The sequence below is a fragment of the Homo sapiens genome, chromosome 14, assembly GCF_000001405.40.
Source record: "Homo sapiens chromosome 14, GRCh38.p14 Primary Assembly".
NCBI lineage: Eukaryota > Metazoa > Chordata > Mammalia > Primates > Hominidae > Homo > Homo sapiens.
In genome coordinates this window covers 64,394,186-64,409,858 of record NC_000014.9, presented here as the reverse complement: position 1 = coordinate 64,409,858, position 15,673 = coordinate 64,394,186, and the positions used below count along the sequence as shown (strand labels likewise).

The 15,673-nt window shown below is 42.2% G+C and overlaps 1 protein-coding gene across 2 annotated transcripts in view; it reads right to left on the bottom strand.

The window, feature by feature from the left end:
• MTHFD1 (methylenetetrahydrofolate dehydrogenase, cyclohydrolase and formyltetrahydrofolate synthetase 1) overlaps positions 1-15,673 on the bottom strand; it is a 71,673-nt gene that overhangs the window by 50,167 nt on the left and 5,833 nt on the right. For both annotated transcript variants that reach the window (NM_005956.4, NM_001364837.1), the window contains exon 2: positions 8,982-9,066. In NM_005956.4, the coding sequence (NP_005947.3) occupies positions 8,982-9,066 (85 nt within the window). The remainder of the gene's footprint in view (positions 1-8,981; positions 9,067-15,673) is intronic.

Genomic DNA, 15,673 nt, shown 5'->3' with positions numbered 1-15,673 from the left:
TTGGTGCTATTACTGGACGCTCTCCTCAGATCTCAGGACATGGCCTGAATCTTAGCTTCAGTTGTCCCTTATACAGACAGTTCTCAGTTTTGTGGTGCTAATTTGAATTGCAAGAGCCAGAAGAGTCCTTTGAGGGGAATTCTACCTTTTTTTTTAATGGGTTATTTGTATCTAAGTACATTAGATGCTTCTCGTAGGGGCTTCCCTAGACTTTTCGTGCCTCTCATGTTTCCTCTTTGGTCACTTTCTATGTATGTTCTTTGCCCCACCACCCAACCCTCACTGGTTCAGTTACCAGATTTGATACATTCCGGAATTTTTAGATCAAAGTAGGAAAGGAGGTGGTTCTAAATACAAAAGTATTATTTTTTTACAATTTCATTCATATTTATACCTACCACTAGTTATTTAGTCTTAACTCTGAGATTAAATTGTTTTATCACTTGCTGCCAGTAAGGAAGCCACAACTTCTCTGTTCTAGAATTTATCTTCATTCATGTTTCAAGTAAGTGAAATGTAACTTATAAGTCAGTTTTCCAGGAAAGGTAGGTGGACATGTTTCTAAGTCTGTATAACTGAAAATATTTTTCTGCTGTCCCTTGCACTTGACTGGCCTTGCCTGATTTGGAGTGACAGCATTTTCCTTCGGAGATGTTGTCTTTGGCATCTAATGTCACACAGGAGAAGTCTGAAGTCTCTCGCTGTTGTTGTTCCTTTACATGTAACTATTTTCGGCCTGAATATTTCTGAAGGAGTTTGTCTAAAACACTAAAACTACAACCAGTTCCAGAAAGAAAACTTAATAGTTATAGTTATGAGCGTATGTCAAAGTTTTATTGGAAAAGACATCTAAAAGCCAATTCAAAGAGTCACTCTTAGTATAGGTTTTATTTATTTATTTATTATTTTTGAGACAGGGTCTTACTCTGCCACCCAGCCTAGAGTACAGTAGCATGATCATGGCTCACTGCAGCCTGCAACTCCTAGGCTCAAGCAATCCTCCCACCTCAGCTTCCCAAGAAGCTAGGACTACCAGTACACGCTGCCACAAACAGCCAATTTTTGTATTTTTTGTAGAAATGGAGTTTCTCTATTGCCCAGGCTGGTCTCAAACACCTGGGCTTAAGCAATCCTCCTGCCTCAGCCTGCCAAAGTGCTAGGTAGGTGTGAGCCACCACACTTGGCCAGTATAGGCATTTTATAGGGGAAAGTGGTTATAGAACCATTGATAGACTAGATGCAAAAAGAATGTTTAAAGAACGTGTATTCTGGCCGGGCATGGTGGCTCACGCCTGTAATCCCAGCACTTTGGGAGGCTAAGGCGGGCAGATCACCTAAGGTCAGGAGTTCGAGACTAGCCTGGCCAAGATGGTGAAACCCCATCTATACTAAAAATACAAATATTAGCCAGTCATGATGGTGTGCACCTGTAATCCCAGCTACTTGGGAAGCTGAGGCAGGAGAATCCCTTGAACCCCGGGGGCAGAAGTTGCAGTGAGCCAAGATCGTGCCATTGCACTCCAGCCTGGGCGACAAGAGTGAAACTCCATCTCAAAAAAAAAAAAAAAAAAAAGAATGCTGATTTCTCCTTGAAGGTGGCTGAGTACTACATCATCCAAAAAAGATCCTATTCCAGAACAGGTTAGGGACACTTTTTTTTTATACCAGGAGTCTGCAAACTTTCTGTAGAGGGGCAGACGGTGTATATTTTAGGCTTTGTGGGACACATACCGTGTCACAGCAGCTGCTGCTATTGCTTTTTTAACTCTTTATAAACTGGGCAGCATTTGGATACGGGCCACAGTTTACTAATCTGTGTTCTACACCGTAAGATATCTTGGGTATTGGTCTACTGGTTCATTTTTCTTTCTGTTTCAGAAAACCTTATGAAGATACAGGCTAGTTGAGTTTATTAACTGTATTCTGTCCATGTATTTTGTGAGGACTGAATGAGTTACTATACATAAAGCACTCTGAATAGTTCCCGAATACTGTTAAAAATCAGTTTTTTGGCCAGGTGCAGTGGCTCATGCCTATACTCCCAGCACTTTGGGAGGTCAAGGTGTGTGGATTGCTTGAGCCCAGGAGTTAAAGACCAGCCTGGGCAACATATCGAAACCCCATCTCTACAAAAAATACAAAAATTATCTGGGCATGGTGGTGTGCCTGTAGTCCCAGCTCATTTGGGAGGCTAAGGTGGGAGGATCCCCTGGGGGACAGGGGAGGGCAGAGGTTTCAGTGAGCAGAGATCACATCACTGCACTCCAGCCTGCATGACAGAACAAGATTCTGACTCAAAAAAAAAAAAAAAAGAGAGAGAGTGAGAGATACTAATGAGGCTATGGGGCTGAGGCTGTATTTCTATCACCTTACCAGAAACTTTTTTTTTTTTTTGAGACAAAGTCTTGCTCTGTCACCCAGGCTGGAGTGCAATGACACGATTACAGCTCACTGCAGCCTCAACCTCCCAGGCGTGAGCAATCCTCCCAGCTCAGCCTCCTCAGTAGTGGGGACTACAGGCAAGCACCACCACAACCAGCTAATTTTTGTATTTTTTTGGAGACAAAGTCTCTCTATATTTCCCAGGCTGGTCTTGAACTCCTGGGCTCAAGCAATCCACTCGCCTTGGCCTCCTAAAGTGGTGGGATTACAGGCGTGAGCCACCATGCCTAGCCCATTAGTATCTCTTATAATGAAAAGTCAAGTCTTAATTTCCTATAAATATTCAGTTATTTGGGAAGTTACTCATCCACTTTATTAAAAAAAAATGAAAACTCAACTTTTAAATATATACTTGGGCCAGATCATGAATGTTCTTGAATGCATTGCTAAGGAATTAGGAAAACAAAGGGGAAGAACAAATGGGTTTTAGAGACAGATCTGGGTTCATTTCCCAGACTCAGTCCCTTCCTGACTGGCTTTGGGCAAGCTACCCAAGATCTTTGAGCATGAGTTACTATGGCTATAAGGGGACATCTCCTACATCGTAGGGTAGTATAAAACATAGAACGATTAGAAATATAAACAAACAATTTGAATTATTGTAGACACTCTATATAAGTAGTACAGGTTGAAGATCCCTAACTCAAAAATCCAAAATCAGTCAGGTGCGGTGACTCGGCACTTTGGGAGGCCAAGGCAGGTGGATCACTTGAGCTCAGTCTGAGACTAGCCTGGGCAATATGGAGAAATTCTGTCTCAAATACTAAAATTAGCTGGATGCCTGTAGTCCCAGCTACTCAGGAGGCTGAGATGGGAGGATAGCTTGAGCCTGGGAGATCCAGGCTGCAATGAACTGTGATCACACCCCTGCACTCCAGCCTGGACAACAGAGTGAGACCCTGTCTCAAAAAAAAAAAAAAAAAAAACCACAAATAAAAAATGCTCCAAAATCAGAAACTTTGAGCACTGACAACGCCAAAAGTAGAAAATTCCACACCTGGCCTCATGTGATGGCTTACAGTCAAAACACAGTTAAAAGTGCATTTCATGCAAAATATTATTAAAAATATATAAAATTGGCCGGGAGCAGTGGCTCATGTCCGTAATCCTAGCACTTTGAGAGGCCGAGGCAGGCGGATCACCTGAGGTCAGGAGTTCAAGACCAGCCTGACCAACATGGTGAAATCTCATCTCAACTAAAAATACAAAAATTAGCCAGGCGTGGTGGAACACACCTGTAATCCCAGCTACTCAGGAGGCTGAGGCAGGAGAATCACTTGAACCCAGGAGGTGGAGGTTGCAGTGCGCCGAGATCGTGCCATTGCACTCCAGCCTGGGTGACAAGAGCAAAACTCAGTCTCAAAAAAAATAATAATAATAATAATTATTATTATATATATATATACACACACACACATATATATAAAATTACCTTCAGTCTACAAGTATAAGGTATATAATGAAACACAAATAAATTTTGCTTTAGAATTGGATCTCATCCCTATGTATATACAGATTCCAACATCTAAAACACTCTTGTCCCAAGCATTTCGGATAAGGGATACTCAACTTGTACTATCATTCTGGTAAAGGATGGAGAGTGAGTGTGGCTGGATAGATTGTGATCAGACTTGCATTTTAACAAGGATTGCAATTGCAGTCAGGAGGACAGACAGGAGGTATATAGATAGAACCCCAAATCATTAAGCAGGTAACTATAGTGGCCCCAGGGTTGGGAGAAATAGGAATCAAGGGGAGGCAACAGATTCCAAGAGTTGATGAGAGGCACAATCAATAGGACAATAGCCCCTAACTGGATGCAGGGAGTGAGGAAGAGAGCTCCTAAGGAGACGGCCTCAGGCTTCTAGCTCAGGGAATGTGGGAAGATGGTGGTGCCAGCACCACAGCGAAAAAGACTAGAGGTCTGAGGCAGGGAGATGTGATTACAACATATTATATAAACCTTGTATCACAGAAAGCTGTTGACTCTGGTGCTAAAGTACAAAATTAAAAGATTCTACCACTGTTTTATCAGCAAGGACGTAGGAGACGAGCTGTAGAACAGTGTTTATGTAATAAAAACATTTGTAATCAATAAATTTAAAAAACAAGGTTGGAAGTCAGTTTTTAAAATGGAGGAAAAAAAACACCCCCAATGTTGCTTTAAAAAGGGTATACTTCTTGCCTATGACATTTACTCTTTCTACAACAAACAATTTGCAAAAATAAGCCAAGAAATAACCAGCCACCAAATGTACCAGTATACACCCACAATATATACTTTTGATTCTTAGTAATTTGCAAAAAAGGGAAAATCCACCACAGCAGAGAACATGCCAGGCAGAGAGTGACAGGCCTTCTGTGCTTTTCTTCTCAGCTAAGCCCTCTTAGACAAACAGCAGAGGAGGAGAGGGGAATATTTAAGTACTATTCACTTTGACTTTTTTTTTTTTAAATTGAGACGGAGTCTTAGGCTGGAGTGCAGTGGCACAATCTCAGCTCACTGCAACCTCTGTCCCCCAGGTTCAAGCGATTCTCCTGCCTCAGCCTCCTGAGTAGCTGTGATCACAGGTGTGCACCACCACACCTGGCTAATTTTTGTATTTTGAGTAGAGATGAGTTCTCACCATGTTGGCCAGGCTAGTCTCAAACTCCTGACCTTAAGTGATCTACCCGCCTTAGCCTCCCAAAGTGCTGGGATTATAGGCATGAGCCACCGCACCATGCCCACCTTGACATTCTTGATGAACAAGGGATAGAAATTTAGCAAGGGATTAAATGATCTATTGGAGACATACAAATAAAGAGATTGAGAAGGAGACTATGTCCAACTTGGGTGAAACTCTGATGGGAGTTTCAAATGAAAGCCGTGAGTTTCCTGTCATCCAAATCAAGATTGCAAACATTCCTTCATACATTTGTCCGTAAAAATATGTATTGAATATCTCCCTACTGGGTGAATCTGGAGCTCAGGGAAGAAATACTGGATAGAGACCTAAATTTGGAAGCATTCCCTCATGAAGCTATGGGACTGGGTGAGGTTACTTAGGGAAAGAATAAGATGGGGAAGAGATCTCAAGGGTGAGCCCAAGGCATTCAAATGGTTTAGGTATTAGGGTGATGAGCAACAACAAGCAAAGGAGACTTGAAGGTGGGAAGGAAACCAGTGGTGTCCCAGACCAAGAGCCTGGAGCTCAGAAGAAATCTAGATTTAGAAGTCACTGGCCTGATAGATGAAACTGCCTAAAATAATGGTTCTGATAATGTGGCCCACACACTCTTGAGGGACCCCAAGACCTTTTCAAAGATTTATGAGGGCCAGACTAGCTTCATAATAATACCACTACAATGTTGTTTGCCTTTTTCATTGTGTTAACGTCTGTACCGATGGTGCAAAAGCAATGGTGTGTAAGACTACTAGTGAACCAGCACAAATCAAGACAATGGCTTTGGACTAGTAGTCAAGGTATCCTTCACTACCACACACTCCCAGTAAAACTAAATGCCAGTTTCACTAGGACCACCCTTGATGAAGAAATATACATTATTAATTTTCTTAAACTTCAACTTGGCCGAGCACAGTGGCTCATGCCTGTAATCTCAGGACTTTGGGAGGCCAAGGCGGGAGGATCACTTTGAGCCCAGGAGTTGGAGACTAGCCTGGGCAACAAGGCAAAAAACCGTCTCTACAAAAAAATACAAAAAATTAAGGCCAAGCGCAGTAGCTCATGCCTGTAATCCCAGCACTTTGGGAGGCTAAAATGGGAGGATCACTTTGGGTCCCAGAGTTCAAGACCAGCTAGGGCAACAAGGCAAAAAAAAACTCTACAAAAAAATACAAAAAATTAAGGCTGGGCGCAGTGGCTTACACCTGTAATCTCAGCACTTTGGGAAGCTGAGGCAGGTGGATCACCTGAGGTCAAGAGTTCGAGACCAGCCTGGCCAAAATGGTGAAACCCTATCTCTACTAAAATTACAAAAATTAGCTGGGCGTGGCACCTGTAATCCCAGCTACTCCAGAGGCTGAGGCATGAGAATCACTTGAACCCAGGAGGCAAAGGTTGCAGTGAGCTGAGATTATGTCATTACATTCCAGCCTGGGGGATAGAGCGAGATTCTGTTTCAAAAAAAAAAAATTAGCAGGGTGCAATGGCAGGTGCCTGTAATCCCAGCTACTCAGGAGGCCAAGGCAGGAGAATTGCATGAATCTGGGAGCGGAGGCTGCAGTAAGCCAAGATTGCACCACTGCACTCCAGCCTGGGCGACAGAGCAAGACTCCGTCTCAAAAAAAAAAATTAGGCATGGTGGCGCATGCCTGTAATCCCAGCTACTCTGGAGGCTGAGTGGGAGGATCACTTGAGCCTGGGAGATGAAGGTTGCAGTGAACCAAGATTGTGCCACTGCACTGAGTAACAGTAAAACTCTGTCCCAAAAAAGTAAAAAATATATATATATAAATAAACCTCAACTCTTGAGTGCATGTGTTTTTAATAGTCTATGTAAGGAATTGGGAAGCACTCATAATGCACTTCTGCTATATACAGAAGTACAGTGGTTGTGGTTGTTACTAAAGCATTAGTGCTTTTTTATTTTTATTTTTATTTTTTTTTGAGACAGGATCTCACTGTCACCTAAGCTGGAGTACAGTGGCATGAACACAACTCCCTGCAGCCTCGACTTCCTGGGCTCAAGTGATCTCCTGTCTCCCTCTCATGTAGTTGGGACCACACCTCTATACGACCACTCCTGGCTCATTTTTTAATTTTTTTGTGGAGATGGGATCTCACTTTGTTGTCCAGGCTGCACTTGTGCTTTTTTGCCTTGTTAGCTGAAACAGATGCATTTTTATATGAAACACCTACTTGAAATAACAACTGACAAGCAATGATTATTCAGGCTTGAGTATTTGACAAATATTTTCTCAAAAATGAATAAAGTGAAACTGGTATTTCAAGGGAAACAATTAATTGTATTTGTTGCCAATGATAAAATGTGAGTTTTTGGGTGAAAATTAAAATTTTTTATCCACCCCTGTGAGCTTGACAGCTTCTCAATACTTGAAAACTTCTCTGATGAGCTTGTTGGTGATGTTAATGATTCCAATTCTTTCATATTGCATAATGAAATGTTAACATTTGGAAGATCTGCATAATTCCGGGAACTATTATTTTCCAAATGAGGAACAAAGGATGTTACAAAACCATGCATGGGGTAAATATTCATTCCAAATGTAACATTTTGATGTAACAAAGTGTGCAAGTCTGAGAAGATGTAACAAAGTATCAAAGTTCACTGATAGAGTTTCAGATTCTACATTGCAACTAATCTTTTAAAATTTACTTACTGAGTCCTGGTACAACATCAAAGAAAAATACCCACAATTACCTGGAAGGACTGTTAAAAAAATTCTTCCCTTTTATAGCTACACATCTGTATGAAGCCAAATTTTCTCCATATATTTCAATCAAACCAGCACACAGCAAAAGACTGAATGCAGAGGCAGATAGGACTCCAGCTCTCTTCTACTAAGCCATACAGGAAAGAGGTGTGCACAAATATAAAATAATGCCCCTCTTTTCACTAAATTTTCTTTTTAAAAAAGTTTTTGTTCCATAAAATGTTATTTATGTTAACATATAATAAATGAGCTCACTATTGGCATTTTTAAATGAATAAACATTTTTAAAACTTCCTAATTTCTCTTTTTTTTTTTTTTGAGACGGAATCTCTCTGTCGCCCAGGCTGGAGTGCAGTGGCACAATCTTGGCTCACTGCAACCTCCACCTCCCGGGTTCAAGTGATTCTCCTGCCTCAGCCTCCAGAGTAGCTGGGATTACAGGCGCCCACCACCACGCCCAGCTAATTTTTGTGTTTTTAATAAAGATGGGGTTTCACCATGTTGGCCAGGCTGGTCTCAAACTCCTGACCTCAGGTGATCTGCCCACCTCGGCCTCCCAAAGTGCTGGATTACAGGCAGGAGCCACCGTGTCCGGCCAAAACTTCCTAATTTCTAATATAGTAAACATTAATGGATAAATCTGTATAAACAATAGCTTCTTGAGGTCTTACATCTTTAAGAGTGTAAACGGGGCCAGGTACAGTGGCTCACGCCTGTAATACCCATGCTTTGGCAGGCAGAGGCAGGAGGACTGCTTGAAGCCAGGAGTTCAACGCTACAGTGAGCTATGATTGCACTACTACATTCCAGCCTGGCAACAGAGTAAGACCTTGTCTCTCAAAAGTAAATAAATAAATAAATACATTAAATTAAAGAAAAAAAAGATTGTAAAGGGGCCCTACTAAGACCAAAGGTTAAGAGACACTGGCCTAGAGAAAGGGTATCCACAGAGAAGAGCAGAGGGCCAGGATATGCCAACATTTAGAAGCTGAGCCAAAGGGGGGAGCCTGCCAAGAGAGACTGAAAAGGCATGAGATTACACAACAGCCAAAAAAAAAGGAGGAAAGTAGAGGGAGAGGTCTGAAATGATACTGAGAAATCAAGCAAAGACAACATTAATGAAAATACACTATCATAATACCTGTAATATTGCCAGGCGTGGTGTGAAACCAGGTACTTGCTCCTTCAACTGAGTGACTTGATTTTTCAGTCTCGCCCTTATTTGCCTAGAGAAAAAGGAAAGGGTGGGGTTAACACTGAATGTTTCAAGCACAAATAAGTGATGCAGATTATTAGATGTATTTCTCTTTTATTTGTTTGTTTGTTTATTAACACAGGGTCTCGCTCTGTCACCCAGGCTGGGAGTACAGTGGCACAATCAAAGCTCACTGCAGCCTCGACCTCCTGGGCTCAAGCGATCCTTTCGCCCCAGCCTCCTGAGTAGCTGGGACTTTACAGGTCTGTGCCACCACACCTGGCTAATTTTTGTACTTTTGGTAGAGATGGGTTTCACCATTGCCCAAGCTGGTCTTGAATTCCTGGGCTCAAGCGATCTAGGACCTCGGCCTCCCAAAGTGCTGGGATTACAGGCGTGAGCCACTGCACCCGGCCTGTATTTCTCTTTTTTTTTGAGACCAAGTTTTGCTCTCATTGCCCAGGCTGGAGTGCAATGGTGCGATCTCAGCTTACCACAACCTCCACCTCCCAGGTTCAATCGATTCTCCTGCCTCAGCCTCCCGAGTAGCTAGGATTACAGGCATGCGCCACCAAGCCTGGCTAATTTTGTATTTCTAGTAAACGTGGAGATTCTCTATGTTGGTCAGGCTGGTCTCGAACTCCCGACCTCAGGTGATCCCCCCACCTCAGCTTCCCAAAGTGCTGGGATTACAGGCGTGAGCCACTGCACCCGGCCTGTATTTCTCTTTTAAATCAAAAACACTGGCCAGGAGCAGGCAATGGTTCATGCCTGTAATCTCAGTACTTTGGGAACCTAAGGCAAGAGGATTGCTTTAGAACAGGAGTTTAAGACTATCCTGGGCAACATAGTGAGACCCCATCTCTACAAAGAATAAAAAATTAGTTGGGAGTGGTGGCAGGCCCCTGTAGTCCCAGCTACTCAGGAGGCTGCGGCAGGAGGATGGCTGGAGCCCAGGAGGTTGAGGCTGCAGTGAGCTATGATGGTGCCATTGCACTCCAGCCTGGACGATAGAGCAAGACTGTCTCCAAAATAAAATAAAATAAAATAAAAACACCACTGAATGGACATTATCTGGTTTAATATGTACAGGAACTTCCCAACAATTTTCCAGGCCTCAAGTAGATGTGAATCTTTTTCTTTTTTCTTTTTTTTTTTTTTTTTTTTGAGATGGGGACTCGCTTTTGCCCAGGCTGGAGTGCAATGGTGCGATATCTGCTCACTGCAACCTCCACCTCCTGGGTTCAAGCGATTCTGCTGCCTCAGTCTCCTGAGTAGCTGAGATTACAGGCACGTGCCACCACGCCCGGCTAATTTTTGTATTTTTAGTAGAGATGGGGTTTCACCATGTTGGTCAGGCTGGTCTCGAACTCCTGACTTCGTGATCCACCCATCTCAACCTCCCAAAGTGCTGGGATTACAGGCGTGAGCCACTGTTCCCGGACACGTGGATCTTTTCTTACTCCCACTGACACTAACTGAGCCACAGGGTTCAGGGATAATTGAAAATGTATTAGTTGATGGCATTCAAAATCATATAGTAAATAAATGAAAACTTAGACCAACACTTCTAGAAAGTGCTGATGCTCATCTTTTTTCACATTTCCACTCTCCAGGTGCTGTCATGAAAAATTTTACAGGAACAAACTCAAGCACACACCTTTTGCTCAACCTGCACTAGTAAGATGACCACAGCGTATCCACATAAGGTTGAATGATAAATCAATGAATCCCACTCCAAATTCAGTATAAACTTACAAATTATATTCTAATTCACAAAAGAATTTTCTTTACAAAGAATTTAACACAAGGCTAAAAGTATAACCTCCTGCAGTCTCCTTATTAGAGTGAAAGAAAGTATAACCTCTTGCAAAACTAAGATGATCAATTTACCAACATACAACTTCTCAACAATACACTAGGATGTCAAGTAAATGAAATTACATCCATAAATACATATCTGAATAGCTCAACCTTGCCCAGTTATGATATATGATACAATGTTCAACTTGAACATGCTCTGTCCCTCTTGGAAAACCAGTTTTGTCATTTGTCATATGGACATTCACAAACAGCTCTTCCTTCATTCTGATTTGGTTACTCCCAGTTCCACTTCTCCACACGTCACAAAAAACTGACATAAACAGGCACACAAGAAATAGATTATTTGGACTGGCCTAGTAAACATCAAGAATGTTGAATGGTACAAGAAAGAAGTCATACCCAAGATTTTCAAATTTTATTTATTTTGATTTTTATTTATTTATTTTATTTTTTGAGACAGGGTCTGGCTCTATCACCCAGGCTGGAGTGCAGTGATGCAATCACAGCTCACTGCAACCTCCACCTCCTGGGCTCAAGCCATCCTCCCACTTCAGCCTCCCAAGTAGCTGGAACTACAGGTGCACACCACCACACTTCAGCTAATTTTTGTATTTTTTGTAGAGATGGGATTTTGCCATGTTGCCCAGGCTGATCTTGAACTCCTGAGCTCAAGTGATCCTCCCACCTTGGCCTCCCAAAAGTGCTGGGATTACAGTTATAAGCCACTGCACCCAGTTCAAATTTTATTTCTAGTTAGTGACTTTGTTTTTTCAAGTCAGTATTCTCTACAATAATATAGCTCAAAAGAAGAATAGACCATTGGAATTTTTTTTTTTAACTGGGATTGGACCTGGATAGAGGCCACAATTCTGCTCTGAGACAAGGGAACAGGGAATACTGCAGTTTGCACTCCCCAGCAGTTCCAGCCCTAGCTGCTCCCCTGAATGACAACCAGATGTGGTGCTGGGCATAGCCTAATACCCCTACACAGTCACCCAGGCTCTCTTTGGCCCTAAGTCTTATATAATCATTCCTGCCGAAATCCGTTAGAAATTCCAATTCACTCTGTTTAACATCATGGCTGAATTTAAAATATTTAACATGTTATGACAGAGAAAAAAACACATTGCTAAAATATAACCTTTAACTCTTATTATGGATATAGAAAAATGAGTAAATAAAATAAAATATAACATGGACATTTCAACAGAAGCTATATGGTAGGCAAAGGAGGCAGCATGAAATTTACATGATTAAAATACAGCTGCCTTTAGACAACAAAAATGCTGAAATGTGCCATAAGCTTAGAGTAGTTCTCAAATAATTCTCAAATGGCACAGGGAAAACACTTTTAGTAACTGATCAGAGAAGAAGCAAAAACATTCACCTTCAAAATACAGGGCTTCGGGCCGGGCATGATGGCTCACGCCTGCAATCCCAGCACTTTGGGAGGCCAAGGCAGGCAGATCACGAGGTCAGGAGTTCGAGACCAGCCTGGCCAATATGGTGAAACCCCGTCTCCACTAAAAAATACGAAAAATCAGCCAGGCGTGGTGGCACGCGCCTGTAGTCTCAGCTACTCAGGAGGCTGAGGCAGGAGAATCGCTTGAACCCGGGAGGCAGAGGTTGCAGTGAGCAGAGATCGCGCCACTGCACTCCAGCCTGGGCGACCCACTGAGACTCCGTCTCAAAACAAACAAACAAACAAATAACAACAACAAAAACAACAGGGCTTCTTCTAAAAAAAAAAAAGTCTTCTTCTAAACAAGGACACAATTTATCCCCTGCCCCAATAGATTACTGTTTTTTATATATATATATATATATATATATATATATATATATATATATATATATATATTTTTTTTTTTTTTTTTTTTTTTTTTTTTTTTTTTGAGACGCAGTCTCCCTCCGTCTCCCAGGCTGGAGTGCAGTGGCGCGATCTCGGCTCACTGCAAGCTCCGCCTCCCGGGTTCAAGCCATTCTCCTGCCTCAGCCTCCCAAGTAGCTGGGACTACAGGCGCCCGCCACCACGCCCAGCTAATTTTTTGTATTTTTTAGTAGAGACGGGGTTTCACCGTGTTAGCCAAGATGGTCTCGATCTCCTGACCTCGTGATCTGCCCTCCTCGGCCTCCCAAAGTGCTGGGATTACAGGAGTGAGCCACGGCGCCCAGCTATTATAAGATTTTTAAAATGCAGAACACAAATGTTTTATTTAATATGTTTTATTCCCATTTTGTTCATTTGTTGATTTATTTCATTTGTTCATTAACAATTTTTATACTACTAAAAAATACTTCGGCTGGGCACGGTGGCTCACGCCTATAATCCCAGCACTTTGGGAGGCTGAGGTGGGTGGATCACCTGAGCTGGGGGGTTTGACACAGCCTGAGCGGTGAAACCCCGTCTCTACTAAAAATACAAAAAAAAAAAAAAAAAATTAACTGGGAGCGGTGGCGCATGCCTGTAATCCCAGCTACTCGGGAGGCTGAGGCACGGGAATCGCTTGAACCCGGGAGGCAGAGGTTGCGGTGAGCCGAGATCGCGCCATTGCACTCCAGCCTAGGCAACAAGAGTGAAACTCCATCTCAAAAAAAAAAAAAAAAAAACCTTCAAAAAATTTTTAAAAACTTAATATGTAGTTCCTTGTAAAAATAATTGTGATTGTAAGGCCACCTAGTGTTCCAAGAAATACATATATTTCAAATTGCTAGTCATTTAAGTCAAATTAAAACACTAAATTACCTTCTTGTTGAAAGAAAACTGATTTTCACCTATCACTAATATAGCAAAAGCTATATCAGTATACAAGACAGTCAACTGACAATAGTACTATTATTACATAAGAATATTTACTAAAAAAATTATTATAATTTAACCCAGACATTTACCAAATTTGACAGTTACCTCAAATACGTATTTGAAAGCTTAATGTGAGGAAGCTATTTTATGCTTCATTGAAAGTTTATAATGTAAAGTTCTTCCATCCAATTGTCTCTAACTCAAAGCCCTAAGAAAGCAAAGGTAAACTGCTTGATATTTATGACATGAAAATAAGTCAGAATAGTGTAAAATTTTAATGAATCCTATAATTCTTAGTGAGGGTAAAGTCCATCATTAATCCACACACACAATGACACAATAACTCACATTAAGCTTCTTGATCAGGGTTTTTCGATCTCAGCACCACTGACATTTGGACCAGATCATCCTTTGTTATGGGGACTATCCTGTGCACTGCAGGATGCTCGGCACCAGTCCTGGCCTCTACTGCTAGATGCCAATAGCATACCCCTTCCCCATATGACAACCCAAAAGACTCCAGGCATGCCCAATGCCCTGAGGTAGAGGGAGGAAAAAACTGCCCCATTTGACAACCTCTGATCTAATGCAATAAACGGACTAGGTTGGACTGGTTAAGGCTTTATAAAATTTAGGATTTTAAAAGTGGACCATAAGTTCATTCAGAAAAAGGTCTCAAAGAGGAAAGAACCTTCGGAGTCCTGGTACAGGCAACCAAGTGTGGTAGGATTCCTGAACAATGAGGTCCCACCTCCCCCACCCCCACCCACTCAAGGATGAGGGGGTAGGCAGCATCTACTCAGATCCAACAAATTGATGGCATGAAGATAGACAGTACAGTATTGCTAAACTGTTCACATCTTTCAAAAAGTCAAGCATCCAGATTTTTATGTGTAACTACAGGCATAAGTGTGTTAAGAAGTAATCTAATGTTGTAAAGTAATAAATGTGTTGAGAAGTAATCTAATTCTGTAAGCCAAACAAAAAACATTTGGCCTCTAGGCCACAATTTTATCACCTTCTGCCAGTAGCAAGAGTTATGAGACAAGACAAGGTTGGCTCTGAGTATGAGGATCTGTAAGAAGCGGTGCTTAACTATATGTCAACAAAGGAGAGTTGATGCCAGTGGGTCTGCTGGTGAGAACAGGCAGACCCCTAATTCTAACACTGAGAATTAGTCTCACTATTGGAGGATTACCTAACCATAGATCTGGCCGCTAGAGCTGACTAGGGCTCCAATGAACAGCTCTAGGTCCCTTGCAGCCCTCTGGATCATCAGAGGGGAAGGTAGAAAGAATGGGGAAGGTAAGGGTTCTCCACTTGGAGGGAAGAACCTGCCAAGAGCTTGTAATGAGAAAAGCCTCACAAGGACCTGGCCTTCCTGCTTTTCAAAAAGACTGAACAAAACCTTAGGTAGAAAAGGTTAGGTCTAAAAGGCTGCTTACTAAGGAGGGACTGGTATTTGGGCACCTAAACCCAAAGATCACTTATAATGTTAAGTCATTCATTGCAGTCAAGATTAAGTTCCTGACAGGCTCTGGCAAAACCTTTCACAGAAATGCTCCCTTATCTCCTGGGACCTCTCAAGCACCAGATACCAAGCAGTACGTCTCCCGTCCAGGCTTGTGGTGAGGGGCAAAGAAAAAAAAAAAGCTTAGCCAGCAAAGTAAGTAGGTCTGACCTGTCTCTAACCAGTCAAAATTGGACTATAACTTCAAAAATGACTTTTTGAAGAGAATCTGTTTGGGTGCTTCCCAACCAGACTGATGGGTGGAATGATTTCCTCACAATGGAAAGGCCTCAGGGAGAACCAAACCCAGGGTGTCTCCTGCTGGAGGGTAGAAGTTTGCAATTCCTTCTAGCAAGCCAATGACAAGCCCATGGTAGGGAAAGAAATGCACCATCGAGCCTCTGCCACCTACCTTGGAACACCTGGGCAAGTCACTTAGCTTCTGGCTAAAGTGTCATAAACTGCAAAATTGAGGGTAAGGGTAGTAGCCGAGTGGCTGAG